At 38.7% G+C, this 18,596-nt stretch overlaps 1 protein-coding gene across 4 annotated transcripts in view; it reads right to left on the bottom strand.

The window, feature by feature from the left end:
- The window catches only part of PLPP1 (phospholipid phosphatase 1), a 110,111-nt gene that overhangs the window by 30,393 nt on the left and 61,122 nt on the right, over positions 1–18,596 (bottom strand). For all 4 annotated transcript variants that reach the window (NR_103485.2, XM_006714724.4, NM_003711.4 and 1 more), the window contains one exon: positions 12,623–12,903. Coding sequence is in view for 3 of the 4 variants with exons in the window: in XM_006714724.4 (XP_006714787.1) it covers positions 12,623–12,903 (281 nt within the window). In the remaining variant the exon portion in view is untranslated. The remainder of the gene's footprint in view (positions 1–12,622; positions 12,904–18,596) is intronic.

Genomic DNA, 18,596 nt, shown 5'->3' on the forward strand with positions numbered 1-18,596 from the left:
CAAATCTCTTCAAGCAGCCAATAGTTTCCATACTGTACTATCACAAATAGACCAGCTAGGCCGGGCACGGCACAGTGGCTCACACCTGTAATCCCGGCACTGTAGGACACCGAGGCAGGCAGAACGCTTGAGCCCAGGTGTTTAAGACCAACCTGGGAAACATGGTGAAACCCTGTCTCTACAAAAAAAATACAAAAATTAGCCAAGCATGGTGGCTACACCAACAGCACCTATAGGTGCCAACAAGCACCTATAGTCCCAGCTGCTCGGGAGGCTGAAATGGGAGATTGGTTGCACCCGGGAGGTCAAGGCTGTAGTGCGCTGTGATCGTACCACTGCACTCCAGGCCAGGCTACAGAGCAAGACCCTGTCTTAATTTTTTAAAAATAACAAATAGACTAGCTAGCTGTGTATGCCCTTAAATTCATCCTAACGGTAAATATAAACCCTTGTATCCTGAAGTAGATGTCATCCAAGGTCATGTTTTCATAATCCAGGTAATCTAAAGTAGTAGTTCTCAAGCTGTGGTGCCAAGATCAAGAGCAGCATCTGAAACTTGTTAGAAGAAATACAAATTCTCAAGCCCCATGCTAAATCTTCTCAATCAGGCACTTGAGGTTGTGGCCCAGCAAATCTGTGTTTTAATAAACCCTCCAGATAACTCTAATGAACCATTAAAATTTAAGGGCCATGGATCTAAAGAGAATCTTGGCCTGGGAAGGGAGCTACAGATGTGAACTACCTGGGCTCATTAGCTTTTTTTTTCCCCAGAAAATCTTAGAGGAATGGTATTCTCATTGGCATTAATAATGGCAGTCCTAGATAACTGGATGTTCTAATATTGCAAGTATATAGCCCCTTTTAATTTACAGTAAATTCTCATATATTAATTCTAAATTATGAACTCTAGATATTAAAATTAATAAGTATTCTATTAAAGTCCACTTATGCTCTTAGTTCTATGTTTAGGACCTAATGGTCACTACAACTGAAGTCCAGTAAAAGGTTTATAATAGCAGTAATAGCAGACAGAGCGCAAAAGTGTGCTACGTGCAAGAGAGAGAATGGCGGGGAGAAAAGAGAGTCAATGGGAAAAAATCAAGATCAAAAACCAAAATTGTAGGAGGATATTCTCATCCTTACATGTAACTCTGACTCATTTATACAGTCAACAAAAATGACTCATTATGGGTGCTTATGTTCCTTTCTCCCCAATGTCAAGCATCATAATTTTATAATTAAAAGCTTATATGGTGGCAGGCTGTAGAGATACATAAGTTAAAAGAGCAGATTACACTATAATCCTAAAAAACTATAGACAATATTTAGACTGGATTTTTTGCATTTTTAGCTTTCTGACTTTCAAAATTCAAGAGAAAAATAATAGGAAAGTATGTATCCAGCCAAACTACACTCCACAATAGAACAGCAATGCATACCCACAGTTATGTACCACTATTATACAGCTCTGAAATTGGCAACAACTGACTCATTCTGGAAAGACAGATGGAAATTACATTTTTCTAGGAAGATACAAAGTCTTTCTAAAACTTTTTCTATATTTGATTTTCCTTGCTCCTTGCTTCAGAACCCCAAAGCTTACTAAGGGAGCTTATCTTAAAAGCTATAAACAGGCCTGGTGCAGTGGCTCACGCCTATAATCCCAGCACTTTGGGAGGCTAAGGTGGGCAGATCATGAGGTCAGGAGTTTGAGACCAGCCTGGCCAACATGGTGAAACCCCGTCTCTACTACAAATACAAAAATTACCCGGGGAGGGTGGTGCAGGCCTGTAATCCTAGCTACTCTGCAGGCTGAGGCAGGAGAACCGCTTGAGCTTGGGAGGCAGAGGTTGCAGTGAGCAGAGATCACACCACTGCACTCCAGGCTGGGCGACAGAGTGAGACTCCGTCTCAGACCAAAAAAAAAAAAAAAGCTATAAATAATAATTACTTTCAACATATATAGCTCTTCAATTTCAGTTATCCAAAATTAATTCTGCTTTTAAAGAGGGTGCTTTCCCAACCCTTACACAGGACTGTAAGCGGACACTTGCATATGGATGGCTGTAGAAATTTTAAATAGGTAAAAAGCCTAAGTATACTTAGGTTAAAAGTGCAATCAAAGTAACAGTATATGGCAGCCAATTTATATACACCAGGAAGAGACAGTGAATGAGTATGACATGTATATATCACAAAATAATTATTTTTATACCATTTTAAATAAATATATTTCACATTTTGTCAAAATGGCTTGTGCAAGAAACAAAAATATCATCAATAAGAAATATCACAAGAAAATTCTCAGCTAAAACAAAATAAGATTTATGTACCTGAACCAGAGAAATAATATATGTATGAATAATTTGCAAGGGGGCTCACGCCTGTAATCCCAGCACTCTGGGAGGCCAAGGTGGGCAGATCACAAGGTCAGCAGTTCGAGACCAGCCTGGCCAATATGGTGAAACCCCATCTCTACTAAAAATACACAAATTAGCTGGACGTGGTGGCGGGCGCCTGTAGTCCCAGCTACTCAGGAGGCTGAGGCAGGAGAATCGCTTGAACCCGGGAGGCAGAGGTTGCAGTGAGCCAAGATCACGCCACTGCACTCCAGCCTGGGTGACACAGCGAGACTCTGTCTCAAAAAAAAAAAAAAATCATTTACAATGACATTTTCTAGACTTTAGGTACACTCATCACCACAATGACTTTCTTAAATTTGCTGGCTGAGAGAAAAGATTAGAGTTTTCCTGCCTAACTTATTAACATGTTGGTTGATCCAAGAGAGATATTAGAGACATAGGCATGGCATTTGGTGGAAAAGTACAAAACAGAGAATCAACACCCTGATACTGAAGTCCCACTTCCATTTTATTAAGTTTCTAGAATCAAAAACAAGATGCTAATCCTTACTGTGCTTCAAGTTCTTTATTCATAAAAGTGGGACAATATTATTGTCCATGCCTATGTTACAAGAATGCCAAAAGGATGAAAATGAGTAACAAATGGTCAGCATGCAAAAGCTTGGATATTTATGCCAGAAAATAAGAAGATAGTTAACTCCCAGGTTAATCTATGATCACTGAAAATAAACACCTTTCTTCATTTGGTTATAAGTAAATAATAAACTAATACATATATGCTTTTTTTTCCTGTAGCTTAGTCATGTATTAACCTTAAAAAAAAAAATTAAATATATGAAGATGTATATTGTAACCCCTAGAGAAACAACCAAAAAAACAGATAACATGTCAGTAGGATACTTAAATTGCTACACTAAAAAAAAATTGTTTCATACAAAGGAAAGCAGTATAGGAAGAACAGTAACAAAGAGACGAAACATAGAAAATACATAGCAAGGCTGGGCGTGGTGGCTCACGCCTGTAGTCCCAGCATTTAGGGAGGCCAAGGTGGGTGGATCACCTGAAGTCAGGAGTTCGGGACCACACTGTCCAACATGGTGAAACCCCATCTCTACTAAAAATGCAAAAATTAATTGGGCGTGGTGGCGCATGCCTGTAATCCCAGCTACTCGGGAGGCTGAAGTGGGAGAATTGCTTGAACTCAGGAGGCAGAGGCTGCAGTGGGCCAAGATTATGCCACTGCACTCCAGTCTGGGCAACAGAGGAGACCCTGTCTCCAAAAAAAAAAAAAAAAAAAAAAAAAAAAACACATAGCAAAATGGCAGAAAAATCCAGCCATATTGGTAATTACATTAAATTTGTGATCAAAGGGCAAAGATTTTTCAGTCTGGATTAAAAAGAATAAGCAAGATATGACTATATATTGTCTCTAAAAGATACACTTTAAATTCAGAGATTCGAATAAGCTAAAAGTTTTACTTATAGAAAAATATATAACCCAAACAATAAGCATAAGAGAATTAGAGTGACTATATATTAATATCAGGCAAAATAGACTTTAAAACAAAGAATATTTCTAAACACAAAGAAATACATTGATACCAAAAAGGAGCAATACAGCAGAAAAAAAAAACGACACTTGTAAGTGCTACATATTGAACAGCACGGCCACAAGATAAAAAAACAAAGTTTACGCAAATGAAAGGACAAAAAGACAATTCAACAATTATAGTTAGAGATTTCAAGCTCCCCAAAAAATAACTCATAAAACATGTTGGTTAAAAAAAAATCAGTAAAGATATATAAGATTTGAGTAACACTATCAACCAACTTGACCAAACTGATTTCTATAGAACATTTCACCCAGAAAACACATGCTCTTCAAGTGCACATGGAACATTCTCCAGAATAGACTGTATGTGAAAAATGTGGGGGCCCAGGGGGATGGGAATCAACTAATTTGAAAGAATTCTAATCATATAAAGTATGTTCTCTAAACACAATGAAATTAAATTAGAAATCGATGACAGAAAGATAAATGCAAAATCCCCTACATAATCCACAGATCAAAGAGGAAGACGCAAGGGAAATTAGAAAGTATTGTTAGCCCTTGAACAACTCAGGTTTGAACTGTGTAGGTCCATTTACATGCAGATTTTCTTCAATAACAGCTACATTGAGCATGCCTGCCTTTCCTGCCTCCCTTCTACCTCCCTCACCCCTGAGACAAGACCAACCTCTCCTCTTCCTCCTCCTCAGCCTACTCAGTGAAGAAAATGAGGATAAAGACCTTTAGGATGATCCATTTCCACTTACTGAATAGCAGATACATATTTTTGTCTTCATTATGGTTTTCTCATTTTCTTTTCTCTACCACACTTCATTGTAAGAAGATAGTATATAATAAATATGACATACAAAATATGCATTAATGGACTGTTTACGTTATTAAGGCTTCCAGTCGACAGTAGGCTATTTGTAGTTAAGTTATGGGGGAGTCAAAAGTTATTATATGTGAAGTTTTGACTGCACAGGGGGTCAGCGCCCCAGTCCCTGCATTGTTTAAGGATCAACTATATTTTCAGTTAAATAAAGATCCAATATATCAAAATTTGTGACACAGCTAGTGATCTAAGCATCTACTTTATGAAACTAGAAAAAAGAAAAGCAAACAAAACTAAAAGCAGGCAGGAGAAAGTAAATAAAAATAAAAGCAAAAATAAATGAAACTGAACACAAAAAATAGATAAAAATCAATGAAATCAAAAGAAACCCTTGAAACTAACCAAAAGGTTAATAAAATTGATAAGTTTCTAGCCAGATCAGTCAAGAAAAAAAGACATAAGACACAAATTATCAATAGTAAGAATGTAAGAGAGGCTATCTCTGCAGTTCCTACAAACAATACAAAGATAGTATAATGACATGATGAACAATTTGATGCCAATAAACTTGACAACTTACATGAAATGGACAAATCCCTTAAAAGACAAACAACCAAAGCTCATAGAAGAAAACACAGATAATCTGAATAGTTCTATATCTATTTAAAAACTTGAAATCATATTTAAAACCTTCCCACAAAGATTATTCGAGCCTGAAGGCATGCACCTGTAGTCCCAGCTAAGTAGGAGCCTCAGGCAGAAGGATCACTTGAGCTCAGGAGTTCAAGGCTACCATAAGCTATGACTGGGCCACCGCACTCCAGCCTGGACAACAGAACAAGACTCCATCTCTAATTAATTAAATAAATGAATGAATGAATATAAATATTTTTTAAAACATTAAAAAATAGGCCAGGAGTGGTGGCTCATGCCTGCAGTCCCAGCACTTTGGGCACCAAGGTGGGCAGATCAGTTGCGACAAGGAGTTCAAGACCAGCCTGTGCAACAGGTGAAACCCTGTCTCTACAAAAAATACTACAACAACAACAAAAATTAGCTAGGCGTGGTGGCGCACACCTGTAGTCTCAGCTACTTGGGAAGCTAAGGTGGGAAGATCACTTGAGCCGGGAGGTCAAGGTTTCAGTGAGCCAAGATCACGCCACTGTACTCCAGCCTAGGTAACAAAGTGAGACCCTGTCTCAGTTTTAAAAAATTAAATTAAACTTAAAACCTTCCCACAAAGAAACTTCTAGGCCCAAATGACTTCACTGATGAATTCAACATTTAATACCAAACTTTTGACACTAAAGCTAGACAAAAACTTTACAAGAAAACTACAGACCAATAACTCATAAACACAGATGTAAAAATCCTTAATAAAATATTAGCAAACCAAATCCAATTAATATAAAAAGTATAATACTCCATGACTAAGTATATACCCCAGGGATAAAAAGTTGCTTTGATATTCAAAAAACTAACATAATATACTATATTAGAGAATAAAGAAGAAAAACAATATAGCCATCTTAACAAACACAGAAAAAGCATGTCACAAAATCCAATACCCATTCATGATAAAAATCTAACAAAAAGCATCTACAAAAAAAAAAACCATGCACAGTTGACATATTTGTGAAAGGCTGAGTGCTTCTTTCCTAAGGTCAGGAAGAAGACAAGCAATCTGCTCTCACCACTTCATTCAACCTGGTATTGCAGGTCTTAGCCAGTGTAGTAAGGAAAGGAAAAGAAATCTAAGGCAATATAAAAGAGAAAAGAAGTACAGCTCTCTTTATTCACACACAACATGAATGGGAAAGCAAAAAACCTTCAGGAATCTATAAAATCACTCCAACTAATAAATTAAATTAGCAAGATTGCAGGATACATGATTAATATAAAAACAAATTCTACTTCTACACACTCAAAACAATTGGAAATTGATTAAAAAAAAAACTCACAATGGCATTAAGTTAGTAATATACTTAACAAAACGTATGCAAGACCCAGACCCTGAAAACTAAAAAACACTGGCATGAGAAACTAAAGAAAACCTAAGTTAATGGAGAGATACAACATATTCATGGATTGGAAGACCCAATACTAACATGGCAATTCTTCAAAAATTGATCTATATATTTGAAGCAATCTCAATAAAATTTCTGCCCTTTCAAAGAAAACATAAAGAACTTACAATAGACAAAGCAAGCTTTAAAAAGAAGGACAAAGTTAAAAGCTTCCCATTACACCTCATTTTAAAACTATTACAAAGCTGCAGTATGGTATTCGCATGAGAGGCATACAGAGCAATGAACTAGACTAAGTGTCCAGAAATAGACCCACATTTATGTGGTCAATTCATTTTCAACAAAAGTGCCAACATAATTCAATGTGAAAATGTTTTTTTTCGGTCAATAAATAATGTTGGAACAACCAGATATTCAATGGAGAAAAAGTAGATATTGACCCTTTTTGTCACATTATACACAAAAAAATAATTCAAATGGATCACAATACTAAACAAATAAATCATAAAACTTATTTTAAAAAATAAGAAAAATTTTGGAACGTTGAGGCAAGTAAAGATTTCTTAGGACACAGAAAGCAAAAACCATAAAAGAAAAAAATGATAAATTAGATTCTATCAAATTTAAAACTTTTAAGCTTGAAAAACCACCATTAAGAAAATAAAGCAGCCAGCTGGGCGCAGTGGCTCACACCTATAATCCCAGCACTTTGGGAGGCCAAGGTGGGCGGATCACGAGGTAAGGAGAGCAAGACCATCCTGGCTAAGACGGTGAAACCCCATCTCTACTAAAAATACAAAAAATTAGCTGGGTATGGTGGTGGGTGCCTGTAGATCCAGCTACTCAAGAGGCTCAGGCAGGAGAATGGCGTGAACCCGGGAGGCGAAGCTTGCAGAGAGCCAAGATCGTGCCACTGCACTCCAGCCTGGGGGATACAGCGAGACTCCATCTCAAAAAAAAAAGAAAAAGAAAAAGAAAGCAGCCATAAAAAAGAATGAGTTCATGTCTTTTGCAGGGACACGCATGAAGCTGGAAACCATCATTCTCAGCAAACTAACACAGGAACAGAAAACCAAACGCACATGTTCTCATTCCTAAGTGGGAGTTGAACAATGAGAACACATGGACAGAGGGAGGGAAACATCACACACCGGGGCCTGTCAGGGGGTGTGGGGTAAGGCGTGGGGAGAGCATTAGGACAAACACCTAATGCATGTGGGGCTTAAAAACTAGATGACGGGTTGATAGGTGCAGCAAACCACCATGGCACATATATACCTATGTAACAAACCTGCATGTTCTGCACATGTATCCTAGAACTTAAATTAAGATAAAAAAGAAAAAGAAAATAAAAAGTTGGGCCAGGAGCGGTGGCTCACGCGTGTAACCCTAGCACTTTGGGAGGCTGAGGCGAGTAGATCACTTGAGGTCAGGAATTCAAGACCAGCCTGGCCAACATGGTGAAACTCATCTCTACTAAAAATACAAAAATTAGCTGGGCATGGTGGCACACACCTGTAATCCCAGCTACTCAAGACGCTGAGGCATGAGGTTGCAGTGAGCCGAGATTGTGCCACAGCACTCTAGCTTCGGCGACAGAGTGAGGCTCTGTCTCAAAAAAAAAGAAAAGAAAAAGTTGATTGGGCATGGTGGCTCATGTTTATAATCCCAGCACTTTGACTTTGGAAGGCCGAGGCAAGAGGATCGCTTGAACACAGGAGTTCAAAAACAGCCTGGACAACAAAGCAAGACCCTGTCCCATAAATAAATAAATAAATAAATAAATAAATAAATAAATAAATAAATAAATAAATAAGAAAATACATAGCAAGCCACAGATTGAGAGAAAATATTTTCAAAACATATATCTAACAAAGGACTTTTATTCAGAATATATAAAGAACTCTTACAACTCAGACAAGCAACTAATTTTTTTTTAATGGGTAAAAGAGTTAACATTTCAAAAATGACAATAGCTGAATGGACAAGAAACACACGAAAAGATGTTCAGCAACACTGGTCATTAAGGAAATATAAATTAAAACCACACTGAGATACCATAACAAAAACCCTTAGAATGGCTAAAATAACAAAAACTGGCCATTAATAAATACACACATGCTATATATAGTCCAGCACTTCTACTCCTAGATATTTGTTCAAGAAAAAATAAAAGTATATATTACTGTACTGGTACACAAATGTTCAGAACATCTTTTTTTTTTTTTTTTTTAAGAAGCAGTCTTGTTCTGTCACCCAGGCTGGCATGATCTGGGCTAACTGCAACCTCCACCACACGGGTTCAAAGTGATTCTTGTGCCTCAGTTTCTCAGCCTCCCAAGTAGCTGGGATTACAGGTGTGCACCACCACACCTCGCTAATTTCTGTTATTTTTAGTAGAGATGGGGTTTCACTACGTTGGCCAGGCTGGTCTCGAAATCCTGACCTCAAGTGATCCACCCAGCCTTGGCCTCCCAAAGTTCGGACATTACAGGTGTGAGCCACCATACCCAGCCAGAACAGCTTTATTTTTAATAGCCAAAAATTGGAGACAACTCAAATGTCCATCAATATTTGCATGAATGGATAAGTAAACTGTGTTATATCCATACAATCGAATATACCTCAGGGGGAGAAAAAGGAACAACATGGATGAATTGCAAAACTAACATGTTAAGTGAAAGAAGGCAGACACAACAAAGTACTCACTGTAGGATTCCTTTTATATAATACTCTAGAAAACACAAAACTATAGGCACAGAAACTTGACCCTCCGGTTGCAGATGGGAGTGTAAATTGACTGTAAACACTCAGGGACAAGCTTTTCAAATATCTGAAAACTTGACTGTAATGGTAAATAACTTTACAAATTTATTCAATTGTACACTTAAAATGGGCAAAATTTTATGTCATGTGAATTATACCTCAAAAAAGCTATTTAAAAGAGTAGTTCGACTAGTATCTATTCTATTTTTTTCCTTTGTGATTTAAATCCTATAAGTGTTTTTTTATGTGGGGCGGAGGTGGTTTTTTTTTTTTTTGAGACAGAGTCTCATCCTGTTACACAGGCTGGAGTGCAGTGGCGCAATCTCTGCTCACTGCAACCTCTGCCTCCGGGGTTCAAGCGATTCTCCTGCCTCAGCCTCCCAAGTAGCTGGGATTACAGGTGTGCGGCCACCATGCCCAGCTACTTTTTGTATTTTTAGTAGAGACAGGGTTTCACCATGTTGGCCAGGCTGGTCTTGAACTCCTGACCTCGAGTGATCTGCCTGCCTCTGCCTCCCAAAGTGCTGAGATTGCAGGCATGAGCCACCACGCCAGCCGTACTCCTATAGCTGGTTTTATCATTGCATTCATAAATATGTATGGTATTTTTTAAAGGTTATATGGTTAAGTTATAGATGGAAGAAGAAATCATGATAATTTTATTCTATTAAATCGGGGCGTCCAATCTTTTGGCTTCCCCGCACCACACTGGAAGAAGAACTGTCTTCGGCCACACATAAAATACACTAACAATATCTGATAATAAACAAACAAACAAAAATCATAATGTTTTAAGAAAGTTTACGAATTTGTGTTGGGCCGCATTCAAAGCCATCCTGGGCCACATGTGGGCCACAGGTTGGATAAGCTTGTATCAGATTTTGTTTTACATGGTATGTTTTTACCCAGCTATTTGTTCTTCTTTATAATTTGTTTTAAATTTCAGTCTCATTTTCAATAGGCTTCCTCTCCTCCACCCAAGCCATTTGTTCATCCCCTCTGTTCCTACTCCTCCACTGAACACTCTGGAATTCTGGCTCTACTGTTAAAGTCTTCTATCTTTCCCTGTGTCTCCAAACTGTTCCCTGAAGGCTCTCTGTACCTCCTAGCCATCCAATTAAAGAGGCTTTCCCTAGGATACTGCTTGCCCTTGCAGGGAATGAGATCTACACAGCCCATACACCTTAAGAGTCCAGTATTGATGTTGGTGTTTTCATCATTCCTCAAAGCCATTTCTGGACCATTCTTCCTCTAGCCCCTTATAAAAATGCTTGTTCACCTGAGCTCAAATCAACACTATCACCTTTTACCAACTATTTCTCAACTGTCTACCTCTTCAGTCACTTTTCCCTCCTTCATTAAGACTTTACACCCATATCAGTCCTCCTCACCACCTCAAAGTTTGCCATTTAACAGCTTGATCTTTCTCTTCTTTGACCTCATTATCACCAAGCAAGTTCTCTTCCATTCTCATCCTTTGTTTAATGTAAATCTTCCCTGCCAGACTAAGGTCCATGAAGATGGGGACCAGAGATGTCTTGTTCACTGCTAAACCCCAAGCAAATACCATAGTATATACTCTAGTTAAATAAGATTTTTTTCATCCCCACTAAATACAAAAAATTGAAGCTACTGGCCGGGTGCCATGGCTCATGCCTATAATCCCAGCACTCTGGGAACCTGAGGCAGGCGGATCACCTGAGGTCAGGAGTTTGAGACCAGCCTGGAAAACATGGTAAAACCCCGTCTCTACTAAAAATACAAAAATTAGTAGGGCATGGTGGCACGTGCCTGTAGTCCCAGCTACTCGGGAGGCTGAGGCAGGAGAATCGCTTGAACCCGGGAGGCAGAGGCTGCAGTGAGCCAAGATCATGCCACTGCACTCCAGCCTGGGTAACAGAGCAAGACTCCATCTCAAAAAAAAGAAAAAAAGGAAAAGAAAAAAAAAATTGAAGCTATTAGCAGGCCCACGTTGCTTTCAAGAATACCAACAAAGACAATGAAGTATCTAGAAATCATATCTAAAAAAATCAAACAAACAAAGGATGTTTTACCCAAGAAAGTATTTGTACTTTGAACAACTAAAGGAAATTAAACTTGATATATAAAAAGATAAGGCTGACAATTTTGAAACTTGAAATGAGGAATTGGCTCTGCTACTAATTAGTGGCTTTACTTAGTGTTCTTGGTCCTCTATTTTTTCCTCATCTATCAATTTAAAAAGTTGGATCTTCTGAGTTCTAAACATTCTGTTTCATTCATGTCTAAAGGTGTCCCAGCATGCAGAAAGGAGCCCAATAAGGGCGTTATAAGACAGCAACCTGATGACCTAGAGCTGTCACAACCTGAACCAAGTTACCTTATAAAAAAAAATCTAAACAATAATAATAAACTAAGAATACTAAGATCTAGCAGAGCTTCATAAATAATGGTGGGACTAGATCAGGGTTCGGCAAACTTTGACCCCTGTGGCAGCGCTGTTTTTGTGAAGTTTATTGGAACATAGCCACATTATTCATTTAAGTATTGTCTATGGCTGCTTTCTTGCTATTAACAGCACAGTTCCATAGTTGTGAAAGAGACTATATGGCCCAGAGAGCCTAAAATATTTACTATTGGCTGGGTGTGGTGGCTCATGCCTGTTACCCCAGCACTTTGGGAGGCCAAGGTGGAAGGATCACTTGAGCCCAGGAGTTTGACACCAGCCTAGGCAACATAGTGAGACTTAGTCTCTACAAAATAATAATATAAAAATGTAAAAAAAATTATATATATTATATATGTTATCTGGCATCTTAAGAAAGTTTGCTGACTCTAGCCTAAATGATCTATAAGGTTCATTTAACATTCTTACATGCTGGCGATGAAAAAAAGAGCTGCAATAAAACACTTTTAAATGGAAGACAGCAATAAAAAAGGAAAAAGGCATGATGAGAGAGAACAATTCATACAAGATCAAAATTCACCTCCCAGTGATAACACTAACTTCTCTTTTTAAGTGCGTGGCTTATCTTCCAGTCACTGAAACCTTCTATTCCAAGAATATACAAGATTAAACAAGCATTAGCGATTTAACACTCACCTGCCTTCCTTAACTCTTTCTGCATTCCCTCGACATATGTAGTATTCAATGTAACCATCGCTGCAGTTGATTTTTGACCAATCTGGATCACAAACATCCAAGAAGTGAGGCCGCAGTCTGCCTATTGAATACTTGGCAATGTCAGTCAGGGACTGACTAGCAGCTGCACCAAATAAAAAGGTTCCAATGGCTTTGTAAATAGTGGCTATGTAGTTATTCCTGATAAAGGAATTTGAGTGCAAAAGGTTACAGTAAACAGACAGGGTTTCTCCAAGAATAATCTGAAAAAGAAACAGAAAAATAACATGTTAAAGTAGCAAGCAGGCACTTTAAACAAAACAAAACATAGGGGGAAAAAAGGAAATGGTAAATCGCAAAAATATCTTTGTTTCAAAAACAGTCCCAGCCCCTTTTTTCTTTACAATGGAGAGTCAACTTAGGATATCCAATTCTAAACCACAAAACAGGTGTCATATCAATGGTGGACATTACTTACAAAGCCATGGCTGGGACAAAATTATATCATCACTTACCTAAAATAACAAGATCTTATTTTTTTTTTCTTGTATTCAAATAAACAGAGCTTTAAAAAGTAGACAGTGATATATCCTGGAGGACAAAAACTATGGCTTGTCCAAAAAACAAACTTCCAGCCGGGTGTGGTGGCTCATGCCTGTAATCCCAGCACTTTGGGAGCCCGAGGGAGGTGGATCACCCAAGGTCAGGAGTTCGAGACCAGCCTGGCCAACATGGTAAAACCCTGTCTCTACTAAAAATACAAAAAATCAGTCAGGCATGAAGGTGGGTGCCTGTAATCCCAGCTACTTCGGAGGCTAAGGCAGGAGAATCACTTGAACCTGGGAGGCAGAGGTTGCAGTGAGCCGAGATCATGCCATTGTACTCCAGCCTGGGCAACAAGAGCAAGACTCCGTCTCAATAAATAAATAAATACATACATACATACCTACTTCCCCAATCAGAAACTCCTGTGTATAAGTACTTTTATCTGACAGAGGCTTCATTTTTCTCAAATATTCCTTTGAATCAAAGACATCCATCATATTAAAAAGAGTAAAATCATTTCAGGGAGGATTGCTAGAGGATACAGAGGGCAGGGATTTAGCCTTCCAGGTGACCTCTGCTGGGGTCCCAAGGGGTGGGACAGGATTTTTAGTCACTAATTTAAAAGTATAAAAAGGTTTCCAATGCTTTATAAGTTAACAAACCCATATCCTGAGAATTCAAAGAATACTGAATGGCAACATTATAAATAGTAACATTTGCTATTAAAAAAGACAGTAAGACTCTAGCTACCTGAAACCAAAATAAACAGTTAAGGCCGGGCACCGTGGCTCACTCCTGTAATCCCAGCACTTTGGGAGGCCGAGGCAGGTGAATCTCTTGAGGTCAGGAGTTCGAGACCAGCCTGGCCAATATGGTGAAACCCCATCTCTACTAAAAATACAAAAAATTAGCCAGGAGTGGTGGTAGGCACCTATAATCCCCAGCTACTTGGGAAACTGAGGCGGGAGAATCAATTGAACCCAGGAAGTGGTGGTTGCAGTGAGCCGAGATGGCGCCACTGCACTCCAGCCTGGGTGCGACACAGCGAGACCCCATCTCAAAAAATAATAATAAAAATTAAAAAAAAAAAAAAACCACTTAACCACAGAGCAGCCTGAACAGTGGGTTTGCTAATCTGTGTGGAGAGAATTAAGTAGCAAAGCTTGACTTGAGATACATTACTAGCTTCTCTGCTTCACCTTAAATTTATATAAACTATTTTATAAAGCATTCAAACATTTCCATTTAATGAGGATCAACTGTCTTCAGAGTAAGTCTTACCATAAGTAAAATAAATGGTTGCTTCCCGAAAGGGATTTCAAGAATCTGATACCTAAAATCCTTTCCTTACCTGGCTCAATGGCTCCTAGAGTTCCATAATTAGAATGTTTTAACTTTGACAATGAGACTATGAACTCTACAAGGTAAGGAGGATTTCTTAATTGTTGAACAGAAAACCTCATATCACCAGAGTGACCTAAACAAAGTAGGTGGTCAATAAATTTTAGTGAAAGGTGCTGCCTTGGGTAAACAGCAAATGCCCTTAGTTTATACATGTTAAGCCCCATAAAAATACAGTTCTAATTATAGTCCTTAACATGAATGAATTAGTCAGATTCTTTTCTGAGAACAGGTCACAGGAGAGGTAAACTATATGTACTTCCAAGAATGTCATTCCTTTACAGTTTTGCTTAGGGTTATCCCTGACTGCCAACAGAGGAACCCTTTCCATTTCAGTACACATTGCCTCCTTAGGCCATTAAGGGGTCCCAGTAATTCCTCACAGATCAGCAGCCAGAAAGAACTTATCTAACATTTCATTTTGGAATTAATCTTTGATTCTTGAAAACATATCAAGTATATTAATCAACCACAGTTTCAGCAGTTGAAACTTCCACATCTCAGGTATGAGCTGTTCTTAGGCACTGAACTATTTTCCAGAAACAGGTAGTATGTTTTGTGAGTCTTCCCAGTCATAATCATCATAGTTTATGGCCACCCAAATCCTGGCTCTTGCCAGTGATGACAGAAAATGAGTTTGCTAGGAATATTCAGAATACTGGGCACAGATTAAAAGCTGATCTTCAGAAGTAGTGTAAGCTGAAACTTAACCATTAATAATGGGAATGCAGGGGAGTCTCTAAAGCCAGCAAATGCTAGGTCAACTCACATCGCTGAGAGAAGCAGACAATAAAGAAGTTCTAAATCAATTCTTCTGAATTAAATGCAGAGATGTGTCTGCCCATTTGATCCACACAAGATAACCATATTCTTTTGTTTCATTTTAATTCCTTACCCTAACCTTTGAGCCATTTATGCCAATTCTTAACCTTTCATGAAGTTTACACCTAAGCCAAGTGTGGCCTAATCCTTAAACTGAGACTATTTATAATGCATTATTTACTTAGATTCTGGGATATGATAAATTATCAAAGAAATAAAAATGTTTGGAGAAGTAAAACAATACTTATGAAGTTCAAAGCTAATAATTATCTAAATCAGAGTGATTCAACCTTTTTAAGCCTATCTCCCACAGTATTCTCTTATCATCCCCTTTAAATCTCCATCAACCAAGATCATTTTATATGTTTCTACACTGTCCCTATGATTTTGTGTCTTTCATTCAGGGCCCACCTTCCCAAAAGAATTGTCTAAAATCAATGACACATCTCCGCATCTTCTTCTCCCTCCTAAATATCTCTAACCACTTCCATTTCCTTTATTCTACTGATTTTTTTCTCAAAAGTCAAAATTGTTTCATCAGATCAGATTTTTTTTTTTTTTTTTGAGACGGAGTCTTGCTCTGTCGCCCAGGCTAGAGTGCAGCGGCGTGATCTCGGCTCACTGCAACCTCCGCCTCCCAGGTTCAAGTGATTCTCCTGCTTCAGCCTCCTGTGTAGCCAGGATTACAGGCACCCACCACCGCACCCAGCTAAATTTTGTATTTTTAGTAGAGAAGGAGTTTCACCGTCTTGACCAGGGTGGTCTCGAACTCCTGACTTTGTGATCCACCCGCCTTGGCCTCCCAAAGTGCTGGGATTACAGGTGTGAGCCACTGCACTCAGCCAGATCAAACAGATTTTTATCAACTCTCACTTACTTTAACTTCTCAGTGTATTTGACTTCACTGACCATTTCCTCCTCATTGAAATTATCTCATGTCTTCTCAGAAACTATAATAATGCTGGTTCTCTACCTGCCAGCTCCCTCAATCACTCATTTATTAATCAATCATTTGCAACTCATGTCAAGGCCCTGGTATGCAGTCTTAATCACAGGGATTTTTTTAAATAAATGATTTACTTTCTAGTAAATAAAGTTAAATGTATACAAGTCTAACCGAGCATTGCCTGAAAGAGGCTGAGTTAATGAATAAAATTGAATTATTTTAAATGAGCACATAAGGCTGAGCATGGTGGCTTACACCTATAATCCCAGCACTTTGGGATGTTGAGGCAGGAGGGCTGCTTGAGCCCAGGAGTTTGAGACACAAGCCTGCACAACACAGAGAGATAGTTATCTCTTTAAAAAAAAATGTAATTAGCCAGATGTGGTGGTGCACACCTGTGGTCCCAGCTCCTCAGGTGGCTGAAGCAGGAGAATCACTTAAACCCAGGAGGTTGAGGCTGCAGTGAGCTCTGATCACACCACTGCACTCCAAGCCTGGGTGACAGAGAAAGACTCTGTCAATCAATTAATCAAAACATACATACATAAAACCACTGCCCTAAGCAGTGTTTGTTTTCAGTGATACTGTAGAGATGAAAACAATACCTTTAAACAATCTGTTCTTTTTAAAGCAGTCTGCATTCATCTATTAATTTGCTTGCCATTTTATTAAATGTAAAGATAACTTTCTCACAGGTTATGTTGAGACAGTAGAGTATAGGCCGGGCGCAGTGGCTCACACCTATAATCCCAGCACTTTGGGAGGCTGAGGCAGGTGGATCACGAGGTAAGGAGCTCAAGACCATCCTGGCCAACATAGTGAAACCCCATCTTTACTAAAAATACAAAAATTAGCTGATGTGGTGACAGGCACCTGTAATCCCAGCTATGTGGGAGGCTGAGGCAAGAGAATCGCTTGAACCCAGGAGTCGGAGTTTGCAGTGAGCTGAGATCGCGCCAGTGCACTCCAGCCTGGGCAACACAGGGAGACTGTGAAAGAAGAAAGAAAGAAAAGAAACAAAGGAAAGAAAGAGACAGAGAGAGAGAAAGAAAGAAAGAGAGAGAGAGACAGAAAGAGAGAGATAAAGACAGAAAGAGAGAGAAAAAGAGAAAGAGAGAGAGAAGAGGAAGAGGAGGAAGAGGAAGAAGAGGAAGAGGAAGAAGAAGAGGAAGAGGAAGAAGAAGAAGAAGAAAAGAAATAGAAAAGAATTTCAAGTTAATGAAATATAATTCATGAGTTTTTGCTAACTAAGCATTTTGTCAGGCCCTGTGTAGGCCGTGCACATCAACACAGTGCCCAGCAATCAGTGTCCTGCTCTACTGCAGCCCTCCAGGCTAGAGCAAATTCCTGTAGTTCTGCTAGCATGGCATCCTTTTTACTGACACCAAAAAACAAGGCAGAATTGAAAGACAGGTCTATTTCTAGCACTGTTTATTTGAATATTTGAATCCTGTCTGAAATTGGCTATTTGCAACTAAAAGTCCTACTAAAAATGTTATATTTAATTGCTTAGCAATCACTCAGAAACATACATACTTTTTAAAAAAAGACCCTACTCCCTCCTTAATGGAAGAATTATAGACTTGGCTTTCTTCTAGCAGAAAAAATTCAGTGTAAAGATTTGTTTAGATTAAAAGAATACCTGATTTCCTAAAACTTCCCCGTACTTTGGGAGAGTCACCAACATTACTGCGTAATTACTCTATAGTTTCCTTCATACAGTTTCATTCAGGCACCTAGGACATGCTGGGCTCCATGCCAGGCAGTGGACACAAGGATGAACAAGATATCATCTCTGCCTTCAAGGAGCTCACAGTCTTATAAAACAAATATCTATATACAAAGGTTTTCTTTTATTAATTATGCACCACAAATTACAAGTTAACTTTCAATGCTAATAAGGTATTACGATCATTCTTAAGACATTTCTAAATTAAGAAGCTTTTCTTTTTTTAAAATAAACTCCAAAAACAGACATGATATACATGCTGTCATCTTTGGCCTATCTCCTGGATACAACTATATATATTTTTTAATTAAAAAAAAAAATCTGTGTGTGTGTGTCTGTGTGTTTGAAAGAGGGTCTCACTCTGTTGCCCAAGCTGGAATGCCGTGGTGCAATCATGGCTCACTGCAGGCTCAACTTCCTGAGCTGAAAGGATCCTCCTGCTTCAGCCTTCTGAGTAGCTGGGACCAGAGGCTCCTGCCCACCATACCTGGCCTTTTTTTTTGCGAGGAGGG

Source organism: Homo sapiens, chromosome 5, assembly GCF_000001405.40.
Source record: "Homo sapiens chromosome 5, GRCh38.p14 Primary Assembly".
Lineage (NCBI taxonomy): Eukaryota > Metazoa > Chordata > Mammalia > Primates > Hominidae > Homo > Homo sapiens.